The following is a 25,488-nucleotide window of genomic DNA, read 5'->3' as shown; positions in this document are numbered from 1 at the left end:
TGAAAACAAACAAGAGTTTTGGCTTATTTTGCAGAAGAGTTTGGATCATGCATGTAACTTTAATAATTTGTAAACACTTTTGCAACTGAATATATATACAACATATATCAGTATATATATTTTAATTAGAAGCAAAGTGCTAAGGAGACACCATGTAGGTTAATGACTGTAAAAATCTTGGTGACATAAAGCATAGTTTAGAAGCTGGTGGTGTTGACTGTAGATAGGCTACCAGCATGGAAGGAGGATATTGAAACTGGGAGGAATCACTTGTGTCTGGGTATTATTTACTGGGACTTGACTATGAACATGACACTAGAGAATATCAAAGCATCCATGGTCTTTCATTGTTCCCTTAGTCTATGCTCCACCATGCTACGCTCCATCTGGGCCTTAGAAAGCTAATTTCTGCAAACTGCCTCACTGTAATTTCTTTGCCAGCTGGCTTCTGCTTCTAACCAGACAGTGGTCCTAGTGCACTGAGATAGGAAGGTGGGAGGAGAGGAAGTTGTACATTACCTTGTCCTTGGTAATAACTTTTTTTCCTTTTTCCCACTAGAAAGCAACATTTTTGCAATTCTAATCCTCAGTGAATGCTGGTAACACCATTTCTTCCTCATGCCTCTTTGGTCCTGTGAGAGGAAATTACTTTCAGCTGTTGCTAGTCTCAGCATGCTCCACCATCCCTGATTTACTCCTTTTGCTATTCCTATACCTCAGAAAGTACAATACATTAATGTTTTGTTTTGTTTTTCAGTTGAACAATCTGAAGTGAGTTCTGTTTCTTGTCAGGACTCCAGACAATAAAAATAACTGTATTCTTTACAAGTAGAATATCCAAATGCAGAATAATAACATTGGATTTTTATTTCACACTAAAGACAAAAATAAACTCAAGATGGATTAAAGAAAGAAATTTAAGACCTAGAATTGTAAAACTACTAGAAGAAAAACGTAGGGGAAAAGCTCCACAACATTGTTCTAGGCAATGATTTCTTTGATATTACCCCAAAAGCACAGTCAACAAAAGCAAAAATAGACAAATGAAATTTCATCAAACTAAAAAAACTTTACAACAACAACAAAAAAAAAAAGAGTTAAAAGAAAAATTACAGATTAAAAGAAAATACTTGCAAACCATATAGCTGATAAGGGACAAATATCCAAAATATATGAAACTTAAACAATTCAATAACAGGAAAACAACCCAATTAATTAAAACATGGGCAAAGAACTTTGCTATGGTCTGGCTGTCCCCCAAAACTCATATGCTGAAACAACTACCAGTGTGATAGTATTAAGTGGTGTGGCCTGTAGAAGGTGATTAGTCATGAGGCCTTCTCTCTTCTGAATGGGACTAAGGCCCTTAAAAAGAGGCTTATTCAGCATTCAGCCCTTTTGCCTTTTCACCTTCCACTATGTGAGGACACAGCAATGATGCACCATCTTGGAAGCAGAGGGCAGCCCTCGCCAGCCATGGAACTTGTTGATGCCTTGATCTTGGACTTACATAGCTCCAGAACTGTGAAAAACAAATTACTGTTATTTACAAATGATCAAGTCTGTAGTATTTTATTATGTCAGCACAAATGAATTAAGGCAAACCTCAAGAGACATTGCTTAAATGAAGAAATATAAAAGGTGACTAGATATATGAAAAAATGCTCAACATCTCTAATCATCAGGAAAATGCAAATTAAACCACAACAGAATATCACCTAACACTTATTAGAATGGCTATTATTCAGAAAATAAAATATAAACATTAGGAGGTGGAGAAATGAATCATGGTAAATGGTTAGTGGGAATATAACTTAGTACAACCATAATGAAAAACAGGATTTTGAAAAAACTGAAAATTGAATTATCATATGATCTAGCAATCCCACTTCTGGCTATATATTCAAGAGAATCAATATCAGTATGTTGAAAAGATAATCTGTATTCCCATGTACATTGCTGCATTGTTCACAATAGCCAAGATAGGAAAGTAATCTCAGTGTCCATCAATAGATGAACTGATAAAGAAAATGTGTTATATATGCACAATGGAACACTATATAGCCTTAAAAAAGGAGGAAATTCTGTCATTTGTTTCAACACTGATGAACTAGAAAACATTATGCTAAGTGAAATAAGCCAGGCACAGGAAGACAAATACTGCATGATCTCACTTACATGTATAATCTAAAATATTCAAATTCACAGAAGTAGAGTAGAATGGTGGTTACCAGGAGCTGGGGACTGGGAGAGGCAGTGGGAAAATAGGGGAAGGAGAGATGTTGACCAAAGGGTACAAGGCTTCAGTTTGACAGGAGAAATACATTTCAGTGATCTATTGAACAGCATGATGTCTATACTTAATAGTGATATATTGTGTATTTCAAAATTGTTCAACGAGTAGATTTTAAGTGTTCTCACTACAAATAAAAAATAGGTGAAGTGATAGATATGTTAGCTTGATTTAATTGTAATATTCTACAGTATACACTGTATGCATATACATCAAAATATCTCATTGTGCCCTGTAAAAATATAGGATTATTATATGTCAATTAAACATGTTTAAAAAGTGGATATCTGTACAATGTGAAAAGAAAGGGTGGGCTTTGCTTATTATCTCACTGGCCATGGAAATATAATTGAGATAATTAAGACACTTAGCCAAGTAAAAATTATGAAAATTGAAAAAAATTATACCTATTGTATACTTTTAAAAAACAATTATGAAAGGAAATAGTAATTAACATTACTGATTGATTGCAACATGTTAGCTGCATCCCTGTGAATTAAGCACTATTGGTACCTCCATTTTAAAATATAGAAACTGGTTGGGTGTGGTGGTTTACGCCTGTAATCCCAGCACTTTGGGAGGCCAAAGAAGGAGGATCACTTGAAGTCAGGAGTTTGAAACCAGCCTGGTCAACATGGTGAAACCTGGTCTCTACTAAAAATACAAAAATTAGCCAGGCATGGTGTATGTGCCTGTAATCCCAGTTACTCAGGAGGCTAAGGCATGAGAATTGCTTGAACCCAGTTGAGGGTTCAGTGAGCCGAAGCTGCAGTGAGCCGAGATGGTGCCATTGCACTCCAACCTGGGTGACAGAGGGAGACTCCATCCCCAAAAAATAAAAATAAAATATAGAAACTAAGGTACTGAGAAGTTAAATGACTTGCCTAAGGTCACACAGTTATGGAATGGCAGAGGAAGAATTTGAACTCAGGCAGATCAGCTCCTATGCCTACACTCTTAACCACTAAACACTGTTAGAAAGAAAACAGAAAGTTAAGGGAAGTAACATTTACTGAATACCTGCTACATGTCTGGAAGTGTAATAGGTGTTTTTCTCATACCATCTCATTTATTGCCCTTTCACAGCACTGAGGCTGATGTCCATTCCCTATTTTAAGAGGCACTTTCTTGTCTGGCTTTCTGTGACACCACTTGCCCTTCTGGCTTTCTTATTCTTTGCCAGCCACTTTCTCTCTCATTTCCTCTGTTGGCTCTTAGCTTGTCAACCTCTAAACATCTGAGCATTCTGAATTTCCTACTTGCTTCTATGCCTCCTGGTTTAGCTCTAGTAATTGAGTGACTTTAAAAGGCTAACTATATTTGGATGACTCCAGTGTTTTTATTTCCAACTTGTCCCCCCTTCTAAATGTATGTTCAACTGTCTCCTTGACAGCTTTGGGTACTCAGTAAGCATCTCAAACTTTGTATTAATTAATTTCTTCCTCAACCTGCTTCTCTCTGTCACTTCCATTTTTATTAAATAGCATCATTATCTGTTCCAGTGGATCAAGCTAAAAATTCAGGAATTGTCCTGGAACATGCACACGTTTCTTCTCCCAATATTGTATCACCGGTAACTTCTGTCATCTCTACATCCAGAACATGTTCCGGTCTATCCGTGTCTCTTCCTGCTGACTGCCTTCATCATTTGCCTCAGCAATTGTAGTAGTTTCCTAACTTACCTTCCTCTTTCCAGTCTTGCCGTCCTTCAAATATTTCTACACATAGAAGCCAAAATAATTATTATAAACATAGCATGCCCCTTGACTGCTTCAAATCCTTTATTAGTTTCTAAATAAAATGCAATCTGACCCCTCCTTTATATAGAGTCCAAACCTCACCTAAACTGTTTTCTGTTGAAGGAATGAATCCTGTCATAGAAATGTTTGGTCTTTATAACCATATGCCACTTTTTGCCAAAGTAGAAATAGAGGCAAGTGTGTGTATGACTATTTCCTCCCCTCCCTCAGTAACTCCTGAAATCAGTTTTTTGTTTTGTGGCTTCTGCTAAAGGTAAGACATAGTACTATGGTGGGCATTTTTCATGTATTATCTTAATAATTATTTATAATGACAATTTGAGAAGGTTGCTATTGCCCATATTTGATATTTGAGAAACAAGACTCAAAGAGCTTAAGTAACTTTCTCAAAGTCACAGTGCTCCTCAGTGGGAAAGTGTTGGCCTGATACCCGGTCTGTAAATCAAAAACCAGTAGTCAACCACGTGGTTACACCACCTCCTCAAAAAGACAGTACATATCCTTTTCATTCCTCCAGATTATACACACACACCCAGATCTATTTATCTCGCCTTCTTTAAAACGTATTTAAAATTCAGGGGTTTATGTGCAGGTTTGTTATTTAGGTAAACTCATGTCATGGGGGCTTGTTGTACAGATTATTTCATCACCCAGGTATTAAGCCTAGTACACATTAGTTATTTTTCCTGATCCTTTTTCTCTTCCCACTCCCCTCTACATGTCCATGTGTTCTCATTATTATTTAGCTCTCACTTATAAATGAGAGCATGCAGTATTTGGTTTTCTGTTCCTGTATTAGTTTGCTAAGGATAATTGGTCTACAGCACTATCCATGTTCCTGTAAAGAACATGATCTTGTTTTTTGTTTTTTGTTTTTTGTTTTTTTGTGGCTGCATAGTATTGCATGGTGTATGTGTATCACATTTTCAATTTCCAGTCTATCACTGCTGATGGGCATTTAGGTTGATTTCATGTCTTTGCTATTGTGAGTAGTGCTACAATGAATATGTGCACTCATGTGTCTTTGTGATAGAATAATTTATATTCCTTTGAGTATATACCCAGTAATGGGATTGCTGGGTCAAATGGTATTTTTGTTTTTTAGGTCTTTGAGGAATTTCCATACTGTTTTCCACAATGTTTGAACTAATTTACACCCCTACCAATAGTGTATAAGTGTTCCTTCTTCTCTGCAATGTCACCAGCATGCATTATTTTTTGACTTTTTAATAATAGCAATTCTAACTAGTGTTAGATGGTATCTAATTGTGGTTTTGATTTCCCTTTCTCTAATGATCAGTGATGATGAGGGTTTTTTTCCATATATTTGTTTGCCACATGTATTTCTTCTTTTGGAAAAGAAGGAGTGTTCTTTGTCCACTTTTTAATTGGGCTCTTTGTTTTTTTTCTTGAAATTTGTGTAAGTTCCTTATAAATGCTGGATATTAGACCTTTGTCAGATACATAATTTGCAAAAATTTTCACCCATTCTGTAGGTTATCTGTTGACTTTGTTGATGGTTTATTTGCTGTGCAGAAGCTCTTTAATTTAATTAGATCCCATTTGTCAATTTTTGCTTGTGTTACGATTGCTTTTGACATCTTCATCATAAAATCTTTGCCTGTTCCTATTTCCAGAATGGTATTGCGTAAGTTTTCTTCCAGGGTTTTTATAGTTTGGGTTTTGATCCCAGGAATAAGGCTGCACACCTGTAATTATCTTATCTTCAACAAAGGTGATAAAAACAAACAATGGGGAAAGGACTCCCTATTCAATAAATGGTGCTTGGATAACTGGCTAGCCATATGCAGAAGACTGAAACTAGATCCCTTCCTTATGCCATATACAAAAATCTACTTAAGATTAATTAAAGACTTAAATATTTTTCTCTTCTAGGGAATATTAACTTCTTTGCCAGGGATGAATGTTATATAGACTCTGTTTGTAGATGAAATGCAAAGACAGCCGTTTTGTTAAACCCCTAGTACTATTCCATTTCTCCTTGGCTTGTCCCAAAACAATTGCCAAAAAATCTTAATGTACAATACAAGTCAGAAGGACATCTCATATAAATATTTAAGGGGAATTTATTGAATAAATAAACATTTTATTGACATCTTCTTAATTTGAGCTTGTGATAATTTTTAATCAATCAGGAAATTTGTAATTAAAGTTTTATAACAAAGATGTAATCATTTACACATGTGGTTATGATCAATACTTCCTATGTAAAGGAAAATAATTTCATATCAAATGGTTTTGATCCACCATTTTTGTGGATCCACCATTTTGTGTGAAAGAAAGAACACAAAAATATTATGTTAATTAACACAATAATAGACATGCAACATAATACCCAAATTCTACTATAGTGGGCATCAGAGTGATAAGCGTATACAAGGATTCCATCTTGTTTATGCTGAGAAGGAAACATATTGTGGTTTCTAGCTTGAACAACAACTCTTCAATATTGCCAGAAATGTCGTTTACTATACAACTTTCTGTTTTGACAAGAGTGCATTAATAAATATGTTGTTTCAAAATATTTTGCAGAATATTTCCTTTTCATGACCAAGGAAATATATTATTCTGTTTATTTCAAATAAATCATGAATCAAGTTTTTTTTTTCTTTCTTGCCTTGTAAAGTTCTTGCAATAGGCAGCACTACCAGTAAGAAGTTAAGAAATATGGTCCTTAAAGCAATTCAAATTAAAAACTCTGTTCAATGTTACTTAGACTTTTATTCTGATACTTCAAGTTGATCCCTTCACCTATGTTTACTCAGGTGCACTTTCAACAATAAGCATTTTTATTTGTTTATTTTTAAAAATAAAGATTGAGATGCTATGGTGAGAATATACAAATATTTAGGCAATCGTGATTTTATGGGAACATTTTTTTTGCATGACTTGTGAACTGATCCTGATGAAAATTTTCTGAAAGTGTTTCAAAAATGTCTTGAGCACTAACATCATTGTGATATCTACTCTAATGACTATTGTAAAAGTTACCAGCTATTTCCATGCCTACATTCTGCTAAAATTATTACTTTTAAAATTATACCCATGCTTGATCATCTTGCTTTATGTCCTAAACATGACAGCCATTATACTTCTGACCTACTTTTCTGCATTACTCAAACGTTTCTTTAATGAGATACAACATAATCAGTAATGATTCCAATAGTCATTTGCTTTTGGATAATTTCCTTTCCCTTCCTCTGATAAACTCTGAAATAAATTTGAGAACATTGAGTAATGGCAGAATTGGATATGGACCAAGCCCAATTAGTGTTTAAAAATTACACTGGTCCCTATCACATAGAATTAATCTTCTTTTCAGAGAGTACACACAACTGAAAATATTCTCAAAATGAAGTTATCTCCTTTATGACCCTGTAAACATGATTTGGTCTTTATGACTTGGAAACAAATATGAACGGGTCTTACCAACATATCTGGAAGAAATGAAATAGAAAATACTCTTAAGCATTAGTTTCATAACTCAAATTTAGTTATCAGATTGCTCAATAAATTATCTATGAGGACCTGGAGGAAAAGGAGTAAAGAGAAAAATGTTAGTATTCTGTTGGCAATGATGAAAAAAAAAAAAAAGGTCTTAAAGAAATGATGAAGCCAAACTGGGTGTGCCATAGAGAAGTGGACACTTTTAATCTTTCCCCAGATGAATGGAGTTCTTATTTCTACATCTGCATCCTCTTTGTCCTTAGCTCTGTTCTCTATATGATACTTTCCAACCGGTTGTTCATTGGTCTTCACTGTTTACCCTGCCACTTTAATTTACTATGTTCATTACTTATGTCGCTACTTCCAACTTTAAAAAATAATTTATTCTTGTAATTCAATCCTTCTCTTTAGTCTTTCATAGTTAGTTAGAATTTGTCAGTACTTGAATGGATGTCATCTTTTTTCTTCTTCATAGTGAATCATAAAAAAAATTATCAACATTGTGACAATTTATAAAGACGCCCTTTAAGTGCTATTTCTCTTTCTCTTTTGACACTTTTCTTCTCTTTCTACATTTCTCCTTTGACTCAGGATCTGTTCCTCCTCACCTTCTACATTGATTTCTCCAGTCACTTTAGTTCAAAACACAACAGGCATCCACTTATTTTCTATAGCCTTTATTTTAATTACTTCTCTAGATAACTCCCCCCATTTCTTCTTTCTTTCCCACTGAAATCTGATGAACTTTCCTATTCTGTCTGCTCTACTGAGCAAGGGTTCCCATTTCCAAAGAGATAACTTGCAACCTCCATAATGACTGTTTTCCTTCTACTTTTTGTCTTGCCACCACCAGAAAATGTCTTAATTTTACTTCTCCCTTGAGAAAGCTTTTCATCCTGTCTCCCTTCCTTTTAATAGTTTTTGGGTCTTCTTTGCATCGTACAGATGTTACCATTCAGTTTTTAAAGTTCCCCTTTCATTCTGAGCCCTTGAAACTGATCCAGCTGCATCTGTCTTTACTCATTTTGATTTATTATTGAGAAGTTTGCTCACCTTCTTTATTCTTTGTTCTTCTCCAAACAAATTTTGTGCATTACACTCTCTGCCTTGGTGTTTTCATTTAGAAAGTTGCCCCTGTGTTCTACATACCCTGGACTTTTTTTCAATTACAAATTATCTGAAGCTTTTCCCAATCTGTACTTGGCTATCTCTTACCAGATTTTTTTTTTTTTGTGGGGAACTCCCTTGTCATGTTACTACCTCAAATTAATATACCTCTGCTATGGTATACATATTGTGGTCCCCTAAAATGCATATGTTGCAATCCTAACCCTCAAGGTGATGTGATTAGAAATTGAGGCCTTTGGGAGGTGATTAGGTCATAGGTACAGAGGCCTCATGAATGGGATTAGTGTCTTACAAAAGAGGTGCCAGAGAGACCTCCCCTTACCCCTCCCTTCCATCATTTGAAGAAACAGCTAGAAGCCACCATCTGTGAACCAGAAAGTGGGCCCTAGTCACATGCTGAATCTGCTGGCACCTCAGTCTTGGAATTCATAGCCCCCAAATCTATGAGAAATACATTTCTATTATTTATAAACTGCTTAGTTTATGGCCTTTATAAAAAGTTGCCCTTGTGTTCTATATACAATAGCAAGCCGAATGGAATAGGACACCTCCTATCCAAATTTCAAACCAGTCCCTTGTTGTAATGTCTAGTATGTCACAGTGACTCTGGACTATGTCATAGGGCTGTTTATTTTCATCATCCCTCTAATACTGTGGAAACAAGTAGCCTTCTACATTGCTATTCAAAGTGTGATTCCTTTATTTGCGTTATTAACATTGCTCTAGTGCTTTTAAAAATGCACACAGTCAAGTTGAACTGCAGACTTTCTGAATTATAATCTGCATTTTAATACGATCTCTAGGTAATATTTTTACACAGTAAAGTGTAAGAGGCACTGGCAAACTACATATATGCAAACTGGAGGATACATGAAAATCACCTCAGTGAGTTCAAGTGTTTTGTGATCTGTGCCCAAATTGTGTTGCCTCAAAGTCTTTCAATTTCTCTTGGAATTCATGTATAGCTGTTTCTTTTGAAATACCTATACATGAAGTATTGTGGTTTCTATGTTTCTTCTCCTCATTCAAATTTAGCAAATACTCTCCTTCCTAGTATGCATTGTGATCATGTAGCTGAATCTCTTCCCATGCCTATGGACAAAGTAAGGCAATTATTTTATTTCCCATTTTGCTGACAGAAAAACTGAAAAGAGAAAATTATGATGTGATTTTCTTAGAGTCACCTAGATAATCACAAGTACAATAAAAACACATATGCAAGGTCCTTAACCCTTGGTTTAAAATGTGTTTCATTACTATGCTGTTGTTTGTTAAATGAATGTATAATCCTTTACCAATTTTTTCATTCATGTTAATTTTTAAATATTAGGACACTTGAATTCTGCATTATTGTCAAAAACTAATTGGAAATATAGTCACATCAGTAGCATTTTATCAAGTATAATTTGAGAGAAAGTAATAAAAAATTGAAGATTTATAAATCATATGCAAGAAAGAGTACCATATTTCTTTATAAATGCATAGAGCTTGGTGAAAAACATTCACAAGAGAAAATACATAAGTCCAGATATCTTTTGGAGAATATTACTAGAATAATTCCGTGATACATGACATCATCTTTCAACCTTTATCATCTCTTAATCCAGTTTGTCTTGACACTCTGTCCCACAACCCAAACATTAACTTGTTCACTTTCTCTTCAAATCAGTGAAAGTACAATAATTTTCCCCCCTTCCTCCATATGTCTTAAATATTTCTAAAATTGAAATTGGAGGGGTGGGTTTGGGGAAAAAATGGAAGCCCATTGAGGGACATTAAAAACTTTATGAAGGTTCACAAGAATTAAGAACTACTTATTTTCATAGGGGAGTGATAGTCTAATTTGAGAGTCCTAACAACTAGTCTCTTAGTAACTAGATAAATTTCTTTTTATTTTTTAAAAACTTTTATTTTAAGTTCAGAGTACATGTGTAGGTTTGTTATGTACGTAAAGTTGTGTCATGGAGGTTTGTTATACAGATTATTCCATCACCCAGGCATTAAGCCTAGTACCCATTAGTTATTTTTCCTGATCCTTTCTCTCCCCCTACCTCCCTGGGGTCTGGTAGACCCCAGTGTGTGTTGTTCCCTCCCTGTGTCCATGCATTCTCATTATTTAGCTCCCATATATAAGTGAGAACATGTGGTATTAGGTTTTCTATTCCTGTGTTAGTTTGCTAAGGATAATTGGCCTCCAGCTCCATCCATGTCCCTGCAAAGGACATGGCCTCATTCTTTTTCATGGCTGCATAGTGTTCCATGGTGTATATGTACTACATTTTGTTAATCCAGTCTATCAGTGATGGGTATTTAGGTTGATTCCATGTCTTGGTTCTCTTGAATAGTGCATCAATGAATATGTGCATGCATGTGTCTTTATAATAGAATTATTGATATTCTTTTGGGTACATAAATCCCAGTAATGGGATTGCTGGGTTAAATGGTATTTCTGTCTTTAGATCTTTAAGGAATTGCCACCCCGTGATCCACAATGGCTGAACTAATTTACACTCCCACTAACAGTGTATAAGTGTTCTTTTTTTCTCCACAATCTTGTCAGCATCTGTTATTTTTTGACTTTCTAAGTTTTATAACATAGTGATTTGCAAAATATTAGCTAGTAATTGTGGCATGTAAATGGAAGATGACATCTACAGCTGAAAGCAAACTGTGCTACTAATTCATAATTTAAAATATTGTTAAAATATTTCACTAGACTCTTCCATTTGTGTATTGCTCTTAAAAACTTTGTATCTTATGATGAACAATGTGGAAATTAATGTTACGGGCAAAATAAAAATCAAGGTGGCAGCATGTGGAATAAATATAGAATTTGGGGCATATGTAGAACTCAATTTGGCCTTTGTATCTGCTACTTATTGTGTGAACTTAAATAAGTAATAGAGTGACCTACTCTGCTGGATTTCCTTGGGATTTTTTTGGTTTTAAAAGTGAAAGTCCTACATCTATGAAACTCTTTTTATTTCAGGCAAACCAGGAGGGTTGTCCACCCTAATAAGTGGCTTAGACTTTCTAAGCATCAGGTCGTTCACCTGGAATTTATACATATGAGATAAGATTCAAATATATCTCTCCTTCTCTCTCTATATATAGATATATACTCTACTCTACTACCTATAAATGTTAATTATCTAGAAGATACACCATGAATGTAATAGATAAATCACAGCTATAGGAGGGGATGATATAACAAACTGGGCAGCAGAATTTGCACTTTGAACACAAATTCACTAATACAAGTGGCTTCTCTAAAAACTCCTGGAGTAAAATGAAAATTTAAGTGGAAAACAAAATGCAATTTGATTTAGTAACAGTAGAAGGAGTCAAGAATTTGAGATATTTTGCAGTCTGAAAAACAGATTTTCAGTTTTTAAGAGTAGACAGTATTGGCAATACTATTTAGCCCACAATTGAAAGGAGGGAAATTGAATGTCATTTTTCACTGAATTTCCACAGAATTTCATGGTATATCTTCTTTAAACAAAGTAAAAAGGCATCTCCATGATTTATTTTCTGATCTTACTTAATCAAGTTTTAACAAGAGGTTTTCAGGAATGTGAAGACTCCTTATTTCTGTGGAAGAACTCCATTTATTCAGTTGTTCTTGCAGTCCTAGAATAAGGGCACACTGAACTCCTCCATGCCAGAAAATGAACCTGACATTGTGGGTGTATGATTATCATCCCTATCCTGGAGGAATTCATAACTTGAGGGGGAAGTCAGGTATGTAGTGAGATGGGTAAAATGCAATCTGATACATGCTAAATAGAATTCTGAACAGTACTGTGGAGACAAAAATGAAGAACAGCTATTGCCTAAAGGACTTTTCAGAGCTTGTGACACTTGAGTGGCGTCTTAAAGGATGAGTTAGGATTCACCAAACAGAACAGAATTAGAAAGGCTTTGCCACAAAAGAAACAGCATATTCAAATGCAAAAGAGTATGAGGAAGGCATCTCTTTTTGGGGGAGAGCAATGCTGGCAGAATGTTGGTTAGAAGATCAGAATGATAGAGAGAAATGCATTTGGAGAGACTTTCCTAACATTATTATTTTATAACACTAAGATCTTTAGCCTTTTTCTTGTAGTTGTTAAGGAAACATCAAAATTATTTAAAGAGAAAAGTGAGAAGCTTGGATTCTTGTATTTGAAAAAATAACTTTGGCAGAATGTGTTGGAAGGGTTAGTGTTATGAGGAAAACTACAGATAAAAAGTCTGGAGAGAAGTCTACTGTATTATTCAGAAGAAACATAAAAATAGCCAAAGCAAGCTAGTGATCATTGAGAAAAGGAAGAAAGTAGGGTTCAGATTGAGCGTTTTTCTCTAGGACTCTTCAAATCATTGACTGCAGAGGAATGGTAGGAGGCAGATTCATTTGGGCAACAGGTTGGATTGAGCATTTTAGGTGGAATTTCACTAGCTTGACCAATCCTTGTTGCATCAGGAGAGTCATAGAAGGAATCTGTGCTTGAACCTTGGGATACTTTGGGACCATTGCAACTTCAAAAGCCTGTAATTTAAAATAATATTATTTTATGCCTTTCTTTGTAATTTTGATCATTGTTGGTTTACAGTTGGTTTTGTCTCAAATAAGAACAGAAACCCCTGCTCTTTTTTGCTTTCCATTTGTCTGATAGATCTTTCTCTATCCCTTTACTTTAAGCCTATGGATGTCCTTGCATGTAAGATGGTTCTCTTGAAGACAGCATACAGTGGGGCCTTGCTTCTTTATCCAACTTGCCACTCTGTGCCTTTTAAGTGGGATGTTTAACCTATTTACATTAAAGGTTAACATGAGTATGTGTGAATTTGATCCTTTTATTGTGTTGTTAGCTGGTTATTATGTAGACTTGATTGTATATTTTCTTTCTAGTTTCAATAGTCTATGTATTTAAGTGTGTTTTTGTGGTGGCAGGTACCAGTCTTTCATTTCTGTGTTTAGTATGGAAATGACCTCTTGTAAGGCAGGTCTAGTGGTATTGAATTCCCTTAGTGTTTCCTTGTCTGAAAAAGATTTTATTTCTCCTTAGCTTATGAAGCTTAGTTTAGCCAGATATAAAATTTTCAGTTGGAATTTTTTTCTTTAAGGATGCTGAACATAGGCCCCCAATCTCTTCTGACTTTTAGAGTTTCTATTGAAAGGTCCACTGTTAGCCTGCTGGAGTTCCCTTTGTAGGTGAACTTCTCCTTCTGCTTACTTGTCTTTAATATTTTTTCTTTCACATTGGTCTTGGAGACTCTGATGACTACCTGTCTTGGGGATGGTTCAACTCAAAAAGAAGACTGAACTATTCTAAATATATATGCACCCAACACTGAGCACCCAGATTCATAAAACACATTCTTACATACCTACAAAGAGACTTATATAACCACACAATAATTATGGGAGACTTTAATACCCAACTGACAGTATTGGACAGATCATTGAGGCAGAATACTAACAAAGATATATGGAACCTAAACACAACAGTTGACCAAATGGAGCTAACAGACATGTACAGAACATTTGACTCAACAAAAACAGAATATACATTCTTCTCAATTGCACATGGCACATATTCTAAAATTGACTGCACACTCAGCAAGAAAGCAATTCTTAACAAATTTAAAAAAGAAAACCCTGAAATCATATGAACCATCCTCTTGGAACACAGTGCAATAAAAAGAGAAGTTAATACCAAATATCTCTCTCAAAACCATACAATTAAATGAAAATTACACAATCTGCTCCTGAATGACTTTTGGGTAAACCATGACATTAAGGCAGAAATCAATAAATTAGTCGAAACTAATGAAAGCAAAGATACAACATACCAGAACAATAAAGCAGTGTTAAAAGTTTTTATTTTATTTTATTTTATTTTATTTTAAAGTTCTGGGGTACTTGTGGAGGATGTGCAGGTTTGTTACATAGATAAATGTGTGCCATGGTGGGTTGCTGCACCTATCAACCCATCACCCAGCAATTAAGCCCAGCATGCATTAGCTATTTTTCTTAATGCTCTCCTTCCCCAACCACACGTGACAGGCCCCAGTGTGTGTTGTTCCCCTCCCCGTGTCCATATGTTCTCATTGTTCAGTTCCCACTTATAAGTGAGAACATGTGTTTAGTTTTCTGTTCTTGCATTAGTTTTCTGAGAATAATGGCTTCTTGCTCCATCTATGTCCCTGCAAAGGACATGATCTCATTTCTTTTTATGGCTACATAGTATTCCATGGCATATATGTACCATATTTTGTTTATCCAATCTATCGTTGATGGGCTTTTGGGTCGATTTCATATCTTTGCTATTTTGAATAGTGTTGAATTTAACATATCCGTGCATGTATCTTTATAATAGAATGAATATATTCCTTTGGGTATATATCCAGAAATGGGATTGCTAGGTCAAATGGTATTTCTGGTTCTAGATCTTTGAGGATTGCCACACTGTCTTCCACAATGGTTGAGCCAATTTACATTCCCACCAATAATGTAAAAGTGTTCCTATTTCTCCACCACCTCTCCAGCATCTGTTGTTTCTTGTTTTTTTATTTGCCATTCTGACTGGCGTGAGAGTATCTCATTGTGGTTTTGATTTCTGTTTCTCTAATGATCAGTTATGTTGGTTTTTTTTCATATGTTTGCTGACCACATGAATGTCTTCTTCTGAGAAGTATCTGTTTATGCCCTTTGCCCACTTTTTAATGGAGTTTTTTTTCTTGTAATTTGTTTAAATTCTTCGTAGATTCTGAATATTAGATCTTTGTCAGATAGGTAGATTGCAAAAATTTTCTCCTACTCTGTAGGTTGTCTGTTCACTCTGACGATAGTTTCTTTTGCTGTGCAGAAGCTCTTTAATTTAATTAGATACCATTTGTCAATTTTTGCTTTAGTTGCAATTGCTTTTGGCATATTCGTCATGAAATTTTTGCCTGTGCCTATGTCCAGAGTGGTATTACCTAGATTTTCTTTTAGGGTTTTTATAGTTTTGGGTTTTACATTTAAGTCTTTAATCTATCTTGAGTTAATTTTTGTATAAGTGTAAGGAAGGGGGCCAGTTTCAATTTACCGCATATGGCTAGCCAATCCTCCCAGAACCATTTATTAAACAGAGATTCCTTTCCCCATTGCTTGTTTTCTTCAGGTTTGTTGAAGATCAGATGGTTGCAGATAAGCAGTATTATTTCTGAGTTTTCTATTCTGTTCCATTGGTTTATGTGTCTGTTTTTGTACCAGTACTATGCTGTTTGGTTACTGTAGTCTTCTAGTATATTTTGAAGTAAGGTAGTGTGATGCTTCCAGCTTTGTTCTTTTTGGTTAGGATTGTCTTGATTATATGAACTCCTTTGTAGTTCCATATGAATTGTAAAATAGTTTTTTTTTCTAATTCTGTGAAGAATGTCAATTGTAATTTAATGGGAATAGCACTGAATCTATAAATTACTTCGGGTGGTATGGTCATTTCATGATATCTATTCTTCCTATCCATGACTATGGAATATTATTTTCATTTCTTTGTGTTCTCTCTGATTTCCTTGACAGTGGTTTGTAGTTCTCCTTGAAGTGGTCCTTCACTTTCCTTGTTAGATGTATTCATAGCTAATTTATTCTCTTTGTAGCAATTGTGAATGGGAGTTGATTCATGATTTGACTCTCTGCTTCTCTATTGTTTGTGTATAGCAATGCTTCTGATTTTTGCACATTGATTTTGTATCCTGACACTTCGCTGAAGTTGCTTATTAGCTTAAGAATCTTTTAAGCTGAGATGATGGAGTTTTCTAGATATAGGATCATGTCATCTGCAAAAAATGATAATTTGAATTTGTCTTTTCCTACTTGAATATGCTTTATTTCTTTATCTTGCCTGATTGCCCTAGCTGGAACTTTGAAAACTATGTTGAACAGGAGTGGTGAGAGAGGGCATCCTTGTCTTGTGCCAGATTTCAAGGGGAATGCTTCCAGCTTTTGCTCATTCAGAATGATATTGACTGTGGGTTTGTCATAAATGTCTCTTATTATTTTGAGGTATGCTTCTTCAGTTCCTAGTTTTTGAGAGTTTTTAACATGAAATGAAGTTAAATTTTATTGAAGGTCTTTTCTGCATCTATTGAGATAATCATTTGTTTTTTTTCTTTAGTTCTGTTTATGTGATGTATTATGTTTATTTATTTGTGTATGTGAACCAGCCTGGCATCTCAGGGATGAAGCCAATTTGATTGTCCTGGATTAGCTGGATTCAGTTTGTCAGTATTTTATTGAGGATTTTTGGATTAATGTTAATCAGGAATATTGGCCTGAAGTTTTTTGTTGTTGTTTCTCTGCGAGGTTTTGGTATCAGAATGATGCTGGCCTCATAAAATGAGTAGGGAAGAGTCCCTTCTTTTTAATTATTTGGAATAGTTGTACTTCTGATAGAATAGAGCTGTAAATCTATCTGGTCCAGGGCTGTTTTTGGTTGTCAGTCTACTTATTACTGTCTCAATTTCAGAACTTGTTATTGGTCTATTCAGGGATTCAATTCCTTCCTGGTTCAGTCTTGGGAGGCTGTATGTGTCCAGAAATTTATTCATTTCTTCTGGATTTTCTAGTTTATTTGCATAGAGATGTTTATAGTACTCTAATGGTTGTTTGTATTTCTTTGTGTTCAGTGGTGATATCCCTTTTTTTATGTTTATTATGTTTATTTTATTCTTCTCTCTTTTCTTCTTTATTAGTCTAGCTAGAGGTCTGTTTTATTAATGTTTTCAAAAAACACCTCTTGGGTTTGTTGATTTTTTTGAAGGGTTTTTTATGTCTCTGTCTCCTTTAGTTCTGCTCTGAGCTTAGTTATTTCTTGTCTTCTGCTAGCTTTGGGGTTCATTTACTCTTGATTCTCTAGTTTTTTCAGTTGTGATATTAGGGTGTTGATTTGAGATCTTTCTAGCTTTTGATATGTGCAGTTAGTGCTATAAATTTCCCTTTTAATACTGCTTAGCTGCATCCCAGAGGTTCTGGTACATTGTCTCTTTGTTCTCATTAGTTTAAAAGAACTTCTTGATTCCTGTCTTAATTTAATTACTTACTCACGAGTCATTTGGGAGCAGATTTTCAATTTCCATGTAGTTGTGTGGTTTTGTGTGAGGTTCTTAATCTTGAGTTCTAATTTGATTGTGCTGTGGTCTGAGACACTGTTTGTTATGATTTCAGTTCTTTTCCATTTGCTGAAGACTGTTTTACTTCCAATTATATGATCAATTTTAGAGTAAGTGCCATGTGGTGCCAATAATAATGTATATTCTGTTGTTCTGAGGTGGAGAGTTCTGTAGATATCTATCAGATCCACTTGATCTACAGTTGATTTTAAGTCCTGAACATCTTTGTTAATTTTTCTGCCTTGACACAAATGGAAAAAAATTGCATGCTTATGGATAGGAAGAATCAATATCATGAAAATGGCCATACTGCCCAAAGTAATTTATAGATTCAATGCTATTCCCACCAAGCTACCATCGAATTTCTTTGAAGAATTAGAAAACAGTACTTTAAATTTCATATGGAACCAAAAAAGAGCCCATAGAGCCAAGACAATCCTAAGCAAAAAGAATAAAGCTGGAGGCATCATGCTACCTGACTTCAAACTATACTACAAGGCTACAGTAATCAAAACAGCATGGTACTGGTACCAAAACAGATATATAGATCAATGGAACAGAACAGAGACCTCAGAAATAATATCACACATCTACAACCATCTGATCTCTGACAAACCTGACAAAAACAATCAATGGGGAAGGGATTCCCTAACTAATAAATGGGGCTGGGAGAACTGGCTAGCCATATGCAGAAAACAGAAACTAGAACACTTCCTTACATTTTATAGAAAAATTAACTGAAGATGAATTAAAGACTTAAATGTAAAACACAAAATCATAAAAACCCTAGAAGAAAACCTAGACAATACCATTATGGCCATAGGCATAGGCAAAGATTTCATGATGAATATGCCAAAAGCAATTGCAACAAAAGCAAAAATTGACAAATGGGATCTAATTAAACTAAAGAGCTTCTGCACAGCAAAGAAACTATCATCAGAGTGAACAGGCAACCTACAGAATGGGGGAAAAATTTTGCAACCTACCCATCCGACAAAAGTCTAATATCCAGAATCTACAAGGAACTTAAACAGATTTACAAGAAAAAAAACAAACAACCCCATCAAAAAGTGGCTGAAGGACATGAACAGACACTTCTCAAAAGAAGACGTTTATGCGGCCAACAAACATGAAAAAAGTCTCATCATCACTGGTCATTAGAGAAATGCAAATCAGAACCACAATGAGATACCATCTCACACCAGTTAGAATGGCAATCATTAAAAAGTCAGGAAACAACAGATGCTGGTGAGCCTGTGGAGAAATAGGAATGCTTTTACACTGTTGGTGAGAGTGTAAATTAGTTCAACCATTGTGGAAGACAATGTGGCAATTCCTCAAGGATCTAGAACAAGAAATACCATTTGACTCAGCAATCCCATTACTGGGTATACACCCAAAAAATTATAAATCATTCTACTATAAAGACACATACACACGTATATTTATTGCAGCACTATTTACAATAGCAAAGACTTGTGTGTTGGTGGGCGCCTGTAGTCCCAGCTACTCGGGAGGCTGAGGCAGGAGAATGGCATGAACCCAGGGGGTGGAGCTTTCAGTGAGCGGAGAACGTGCCACTGCACTCCAGCCTGGGTGACAAAGCGAGACTCCATCTCAAAAAAAAAAGACTTGGAACCAACCCAAATTCCCATCAATGGTAGACTAAATAAAGAAAATGTGGGTTGGGTGTGGTGGCTCACACCTGTAATCCCAGCACTTTGGGAGGCTGAGACAGTTGGATCACGATGTTAGGAGATCGATACCATCCTGGCCAACATGGTGAAACCCCGTCTCTACTAAAAATACAAAAATTAGTTGGATGTGGTGGTGTGTGCCTGTAATCCCAGCTATTTGGGAGGCTGAAGCACGAGAATCACTTGAATCCAGGAGGCAGAGGTTGCAGTGAACCAAGATCATGCCCTGCACTCCACCCCGGTGACAGAGTGAGACTCCGTCTCGAAAAAAAAGAAAATGTATCACATATACACCTTGGACACCTTGGAATACTATGCAGCCATAAAAAATAATGAGTTCATGTCCATGTCCTTTGCAGGGACAGGGATGGAGCTGGAAGCCATCATTCTCAGCAAACTAACACGGGAACAGAAAACCAAACATCACATGTTCTCACTCATAAGCGGGAGTTGAACAATGAGAACACATGGACACAGAGAGGGGAACATTACACACAGGGATCTGTCGGAGGGTGGGTGGCAATGGGATGGAGAGCATTAGGACAAATACCTAATGCATGCAGGGCTTAAACCTAGATGACGGGTTGATAGGTACAGAAAACCACCATGGCACATGTATACCTACGTAACAAACCTGCCTGTTCTGCAAATGTATCCCAGAACTTAAAGTAAAAAACTCTTCATAACAGAAAAAAAATATTGCCTCGATGTTTCTAATATTGTCAGTGGGGTGTTAACATCTCCCGCTTTTATTGTGTGGGAGTCTAAGTCTTTTTTCAGGTCTCAAAGAATTTGTTTTATGAATCTGGGTGCTTTTGTATTGGGTGTATATATATTTAGGGTAGTTAGTTCTTATTTAATTAAATGCTTTACAATTATTTAATGCCCTTCTTTGTCTTTTTAAATCTTTGTTGGTTTAAGGCCTTTTTTGTCAGAAACTAAGATTGCAACCCCTGCTTTTTTCTGTTTTCCATTTGCTTGGTAAATTTTTCTCCATCTCCTTATTTTGAGTCCTTATGTGTTTTTGCACGTGAGATGGGTCGCTTAAATACAGCACGCCAATGGGTCTTGACTCTTTATCCAGCTTTCCATTCTGTGTCTTTTAATTGGAGGTATTTAGCCCATTTACATTTAAGGTTAATTGTGTTATGTGTAAATTTCATACTGTCATCATGATGCTAGCTGGTTATTTTGCATATTTGTCTATGTAGTTGCTTTATAGTGTCATTGGTCTGGGTACTTCAGTGTGTTTCTGTAGTGGCTGGTAACAGTTTTTCCTTTCCATATTTAGTGTTTTCTTCAGAAAATCTTGCAAGGCAGGCCTGGTGGTGATGAATTCCCTCAGCGTTTGCTTGTCTGAAAAGGATTTCACTTATGAAGCTAGTTTGGCCAGATACAAACTTCTGTGTTGGAAATTCTTTTATTTAAGAATGTTGATTATTGGTCCCCAATCTCTTCTTGCTTGTAGGGTTTCCACTGAGAAGTCTGCTGTTAGTCTGATGAGCATCTCTTTATAGGTGACCTGGCCTTTTTCTCTGGCTGCCCTTAACATTTTTTCCTTCATTTTGACCTTGGAGAATCTATGATTATGTGTCTTGGAGTTGATCTTCTCATGGAGTATCTTACTGTGGTTCCCTGGATTTTCTGAATTTGAATGTTGGCCTGTCTTGTTAGATTAGAGATTTCTCCTGGATGATATCCTGAAGTATGTTTTCCAACTTGGTTTCATTCTCCTCATCTATTTTAGGGACTTCAGTCAGTTGGAGGTTTGGTCTTTTAACATATTCCCATAGTTATTGAGGGTTTTGTTAGTACCTTTTCATTTTTTTTTCTCTCATCTTGTCTGCCTGCCTTATTTCACCAAGTTAATCTTCAAGCTCTTATAGTCTTTCTTTCGCTTGGTGTATTCACCTACTGACACTTGTATTTGCATTGTGAACAAAGCTGCACTTTCATCAAGTCATTGATGTTCCTCTCTAAACTGGTTATTCTGGTTAACAGTTCCTGTGATGTTTTACCATGGTTCTTACTTTCTTTGCATTGGGTTAGAACATGCTCCTTTAGCTCAGCAAAGTCCACTATTACTCACCTCCTGAAGCCTCCTTCTGTCAATTCATCCATCTCAGCCTCAGCCCAGATCTGTGGCCTTGCTGGAGAGGTGTTATAATCATTTGAAGGAGAAGAGGCACTCTGGCTTTTTGAGTTTTCAGTGTTTTTGCATTGATTCTTTCTCATCTTCTTGGGTTTATCTACCTTCAATCTTTGAGGCTGTTGACCTTTGGCTGGGATATTTGTGGGACTATTTCCATTGATTTTGTTGTTGTTGCTTTCTGTTTTTCTTTTAGCAGTCAGACTTCTCTTCCGTAGGGCCACTGCAGTTTGCTGGGGTGGTCCACTCCAGACTTTATTCACCTGGGTCCCTCCTGCACCTGGAGGTATCACCACTGGATGCTGCAGAACAGCAAAGATGGCTGTCTGCTCCTTCCTCTGGGAGCTCCATCATCCCAGAGGGGCACCAACCTGATGCCAGCAGGAATACTCCTGTATAACATGCCTGGAGACCCTTAATGGGAAGTCTCATCCAGTCAGAAGGAATGGGATCAGAGACCCACTTAAATAAGTAGTCTGGCTGCCCCTTGGCAAAGCAGGTATGCTGAATTGGGGGGAATCCTCCTCTTTTGGACTGCCCTGACTCTCTGGAGCTAGCAGGAAGAGAAGACTAAGACTGCTAATTCCCAGATACCTTGGCTGCCCCTTCCCTTAGGGGCTTATCCCAAGGAGATCAGAGTTCTGTCCTTAAACCCCTGGCTGGAGATGCTGAAATTCCTGCAGGGAGGCCCTGCCCGATGAGAGAGGATAGGCTGGGGTCCTACTTAAAGAGGCAGTCTGGACATGATCTGTCATAGTCACTGTGCTGCACTGTGTGGAATTCCTCCCAGACGAAACCACCCAGTATAGCTGGCACCAGCATTGGAAAATGGCTAAATGGAGCCACAGTGATGGTGGCTTTCCCTCCCAACAGAAACTCGGTTGTCTTAAGCAGTCTACAGCCTGCTGCACTGGCCAGTGGGGATTCCAAGCTAGTGGGTCTTAGCTTGAGGGCTTTTATTGGAGTGGGGCCAACTGAGTGAGGCAGCTTGGCTCCCTGTCTTCAGCCCCCTTCCTACAGGAGTGGACAGCTCTGTGGTCTCACTGGAGTTCCTGGAGCTAAAGTCTACAAAAATCCCTGCATTCTCAGTGCCTGCCAGATTTGCCACTGACCTGAGTGGCTGCTGTGAGTCTGCACATCTCTGTGCTTGGGACCCAAGGCCCTAGTATTGTGGGCTTACAGGGAGATCTCCTGATCCATGGGTTACAAAGATCTGTGGGAAAATCATGGTTTCCCCGGTGGGGTAGCACACAATCACTCACTGCCTCCCTTGGCTGGGGGAGGGAGATCTTTTTGTCTCCTGCAGCTCCCAGGTGGGGTGTCACTCCACCCTGCTTTTTCTCACTCTCCATGGGTCGCGCCAACCATCTAATCAGTCTCAATGAGAGAACCTGGGTACATCAGTTGAAAATGCAGAAGTCACTCACGATTTTCATTCTTCTCAGTGGGAGCTGCAGACCAGAGCTGTTTCTACTCAGCCATCTTGGCCTTTCCCCCAAGAGAAAAGTTTATAGTGGTAAACACCCACATCAAAAAGTTAGAAAAATTTCAGATTAGTGACCATCATACCTCAAGGAACTTCAAAACAAGAGCAAACCAACATCAAAGGTAGCAGAAGAAAAGAAACAACCAAATCAGATCTGAACTTAATGAAACGGAGATAAGAAAAACCGTACAAAAGATCAGTGAAACCAAAAGTTGGTTCTTTGAAAGAAAAAAAAAGATTGATAGACCATTAGCTATACTAATAAAGAAAAAAGGGGGAAGATCCAAATAAACACAATCAGAAATGACAAAAGACATAATCACTGACCCCAAAGAAATAGAAAAAACACTCAGAGACTGTTGCCAACACCTCTATGCCCACAAACTAGAAAACTTAAATGAAATGGATAAATTCTTGGAAATATTTCACCTTTTGAGATTGAACCAGGAAGAAACTGAATATAAGAACAGATGAATAATGAGTCCTGATATTGAATCAGTAATTAAAAACCTACTAATTAAAAAAGAAAACAACCCTGGACCAGATGGATTCACAGACAAATTCTACCAGATGTATAAAAAAGAGCTGGTACCAATCCTACTGAAACTACTCCAAAAAATTGAAGAGGAGGGCGTCCTCTCTAACTCATTCTATGAAGCCAGCATCATTGTGATACCAAAATCTGGCACAGAAACAATGAGAAAGAAAACTTCAGACCAATATTCCTGATTAACATAGATGCAAAAAGCCTCAGTAAAACACTAGCAAACCAAATCAAGCAGTTCATCAAAAAGTCAATCCACCTTGATTAAGTAGACTTTATTCCTTGGGTGTGAGGTTATTTCAGTGTACAAAAATCAATAAATGTAGCTCATCCCATAAACAGACCTAGAAACAAAAACCACATGATAATCTCAATAGATGCAGAAAATGCTTTTGATAACATTTAACATTGCTTCATGTTAAAAACCCTCAACAAACTAGCCATTGAAAGCATATACCTCAAAATAGTAAGAGCTATCTCTGACAAACCCACAGCCAGCATCATAGTTAATGGTCAAAAGGTGAAAGCATTTTTCTCGAGAACCAGAACATGACTAGGAAGTCCACTGTCACCATACGTATTCAGCATAGTACTGGAAGCACTAGCCAGAGTATCAGGCAAGAGAAGAAAATAAAAGGCATTCAAATAGGAGGAGAGGAAGTAAAACTATTTGTCTTCACAGATGATATGATACTATACCTTAAAAAAAATCCCATAGTCTCTACCCAAAGACTCCTAGATCTAATAAACAACTTTAGCTAAGTTTCAGGATACAAAATCAATGTACAAAAATCAGTAGCATTTCTAACACAAATAACATCCAAGTTGACAGCCAAATCAAGAATGCAATCCCATTCACAAAACCCACAAACAAAAAAATATTTATGGATACAGCTAACCAGGGAGGTGAAAGACCTCTACAATGAGAATTACAAAACACTACTCCAAGAAATTAGAGACAACACAAAGGCAAAAACATTCCATGCTTATGGGTAGCAAGAACCAGTATTGTTAAAATGGCTAAAGTGCCCAAAGCAATTTACAGATTCAATGCTATTCCTATCAAACTACCAATGACATTTTCACGGAATTAGAAAAAATATATAAAACTTATTTGGAACCAAAGAAGAGCCCAAATAGCCAAAGAAATGCTAAGTAAAAAGATCAAAGCTGGAGGCATCACAGTACCCAACTTCAAACTATACTACAGGACGACACTAACCGACACATAGACCAATGGAACATGTTAGAGAATCTGGAAATACAGCTGTTGATCTTTGACAAATAAAACCATCTGATCTTCAACAATGCTTACAAAAGCAAGCAACAGGGAAAGGAATCCCCATTCAATAACTGGTGCTGGGATAGCTGGTTAGCCATTTGTAGAAGATGGAAACTGGACCCCTACCTTTTGCCATATACAAAAATCAACTCAAGGTGGATAAAAGAGTTAAATGTAAAACCTAAAACTACAAAGACCCTAGAATGAAACCAGGAAATACCATTCCGGACATAGGAACTGGCAAAGATTTCATAATGAAGATGCCAAAAGCAATTGCAAACAAAACCAAAATTGACAAGTGGGACCTAATTAAACTAAAGAGCTATGCACAGCCAAACAAACTATCAAAGGAGCAAAACAGCATACAGAATGTGAGAAAATATTTGAAAACTATGCATCTGACAAAAGTCTAATATCTAGAATCTTAAGGAACTGAAACAGATTAACAAAAAATGAACAACTCCATTAAGAAATGGGTAAAGGACATGAACAGCCACTTCTCAAAAGATGACATAAATATGGCCAACAGCATATGAAAACATG

At 36.5% G+C, this 25,488-nt stretch overlaps 2 long non-coding RNA genes across 2 annotated transcripts in view; one reads left to right on the top strand and one right to left on the bottom strand.

The window, feature by feature from the left end:
• LOC105369896 (uncharacterized) overlaps nt 1–25,488 on the top strand; it is a 361,170-nt gene that overhangs the window by 320,417 nt on the left and 15,265 nt on the right. The window lies entirely within an intron of this gene.
• On the bottom strand, nt 524–7,591 carry LOC107984544 (uncharacterized). The gene is made up of 3 exons (XR_001749252.2): nt 7,504–7,591; nt 1,411–1,522; nt 524–632 (listed from the first exon to the last, which is right to left on the bottom strand). It is a non-coding gene; the product is annotated as an uncharacterized LOC107984544 (long non-coding RNA).

The sequence above is a fragment of the Homo sapiens genome, chromosome 12 (genome assembly GCF_000001405.40).
Source record: "Homo sapiens chromosome 12, GRCh38.p14 Primary Assembly".
NCBI classification, from domain to species: domain Eukaryota; kingdom Metazoa; phylum Chordata; class Mammalia; order Primates; family Hominidae; genus Homo; species Homo sapiens.
The sequence above is the reverse complement of the archived record's forward strand: the minus strand, read 5'-3'. Positions and strand labels throughout refer to the sequence as shown.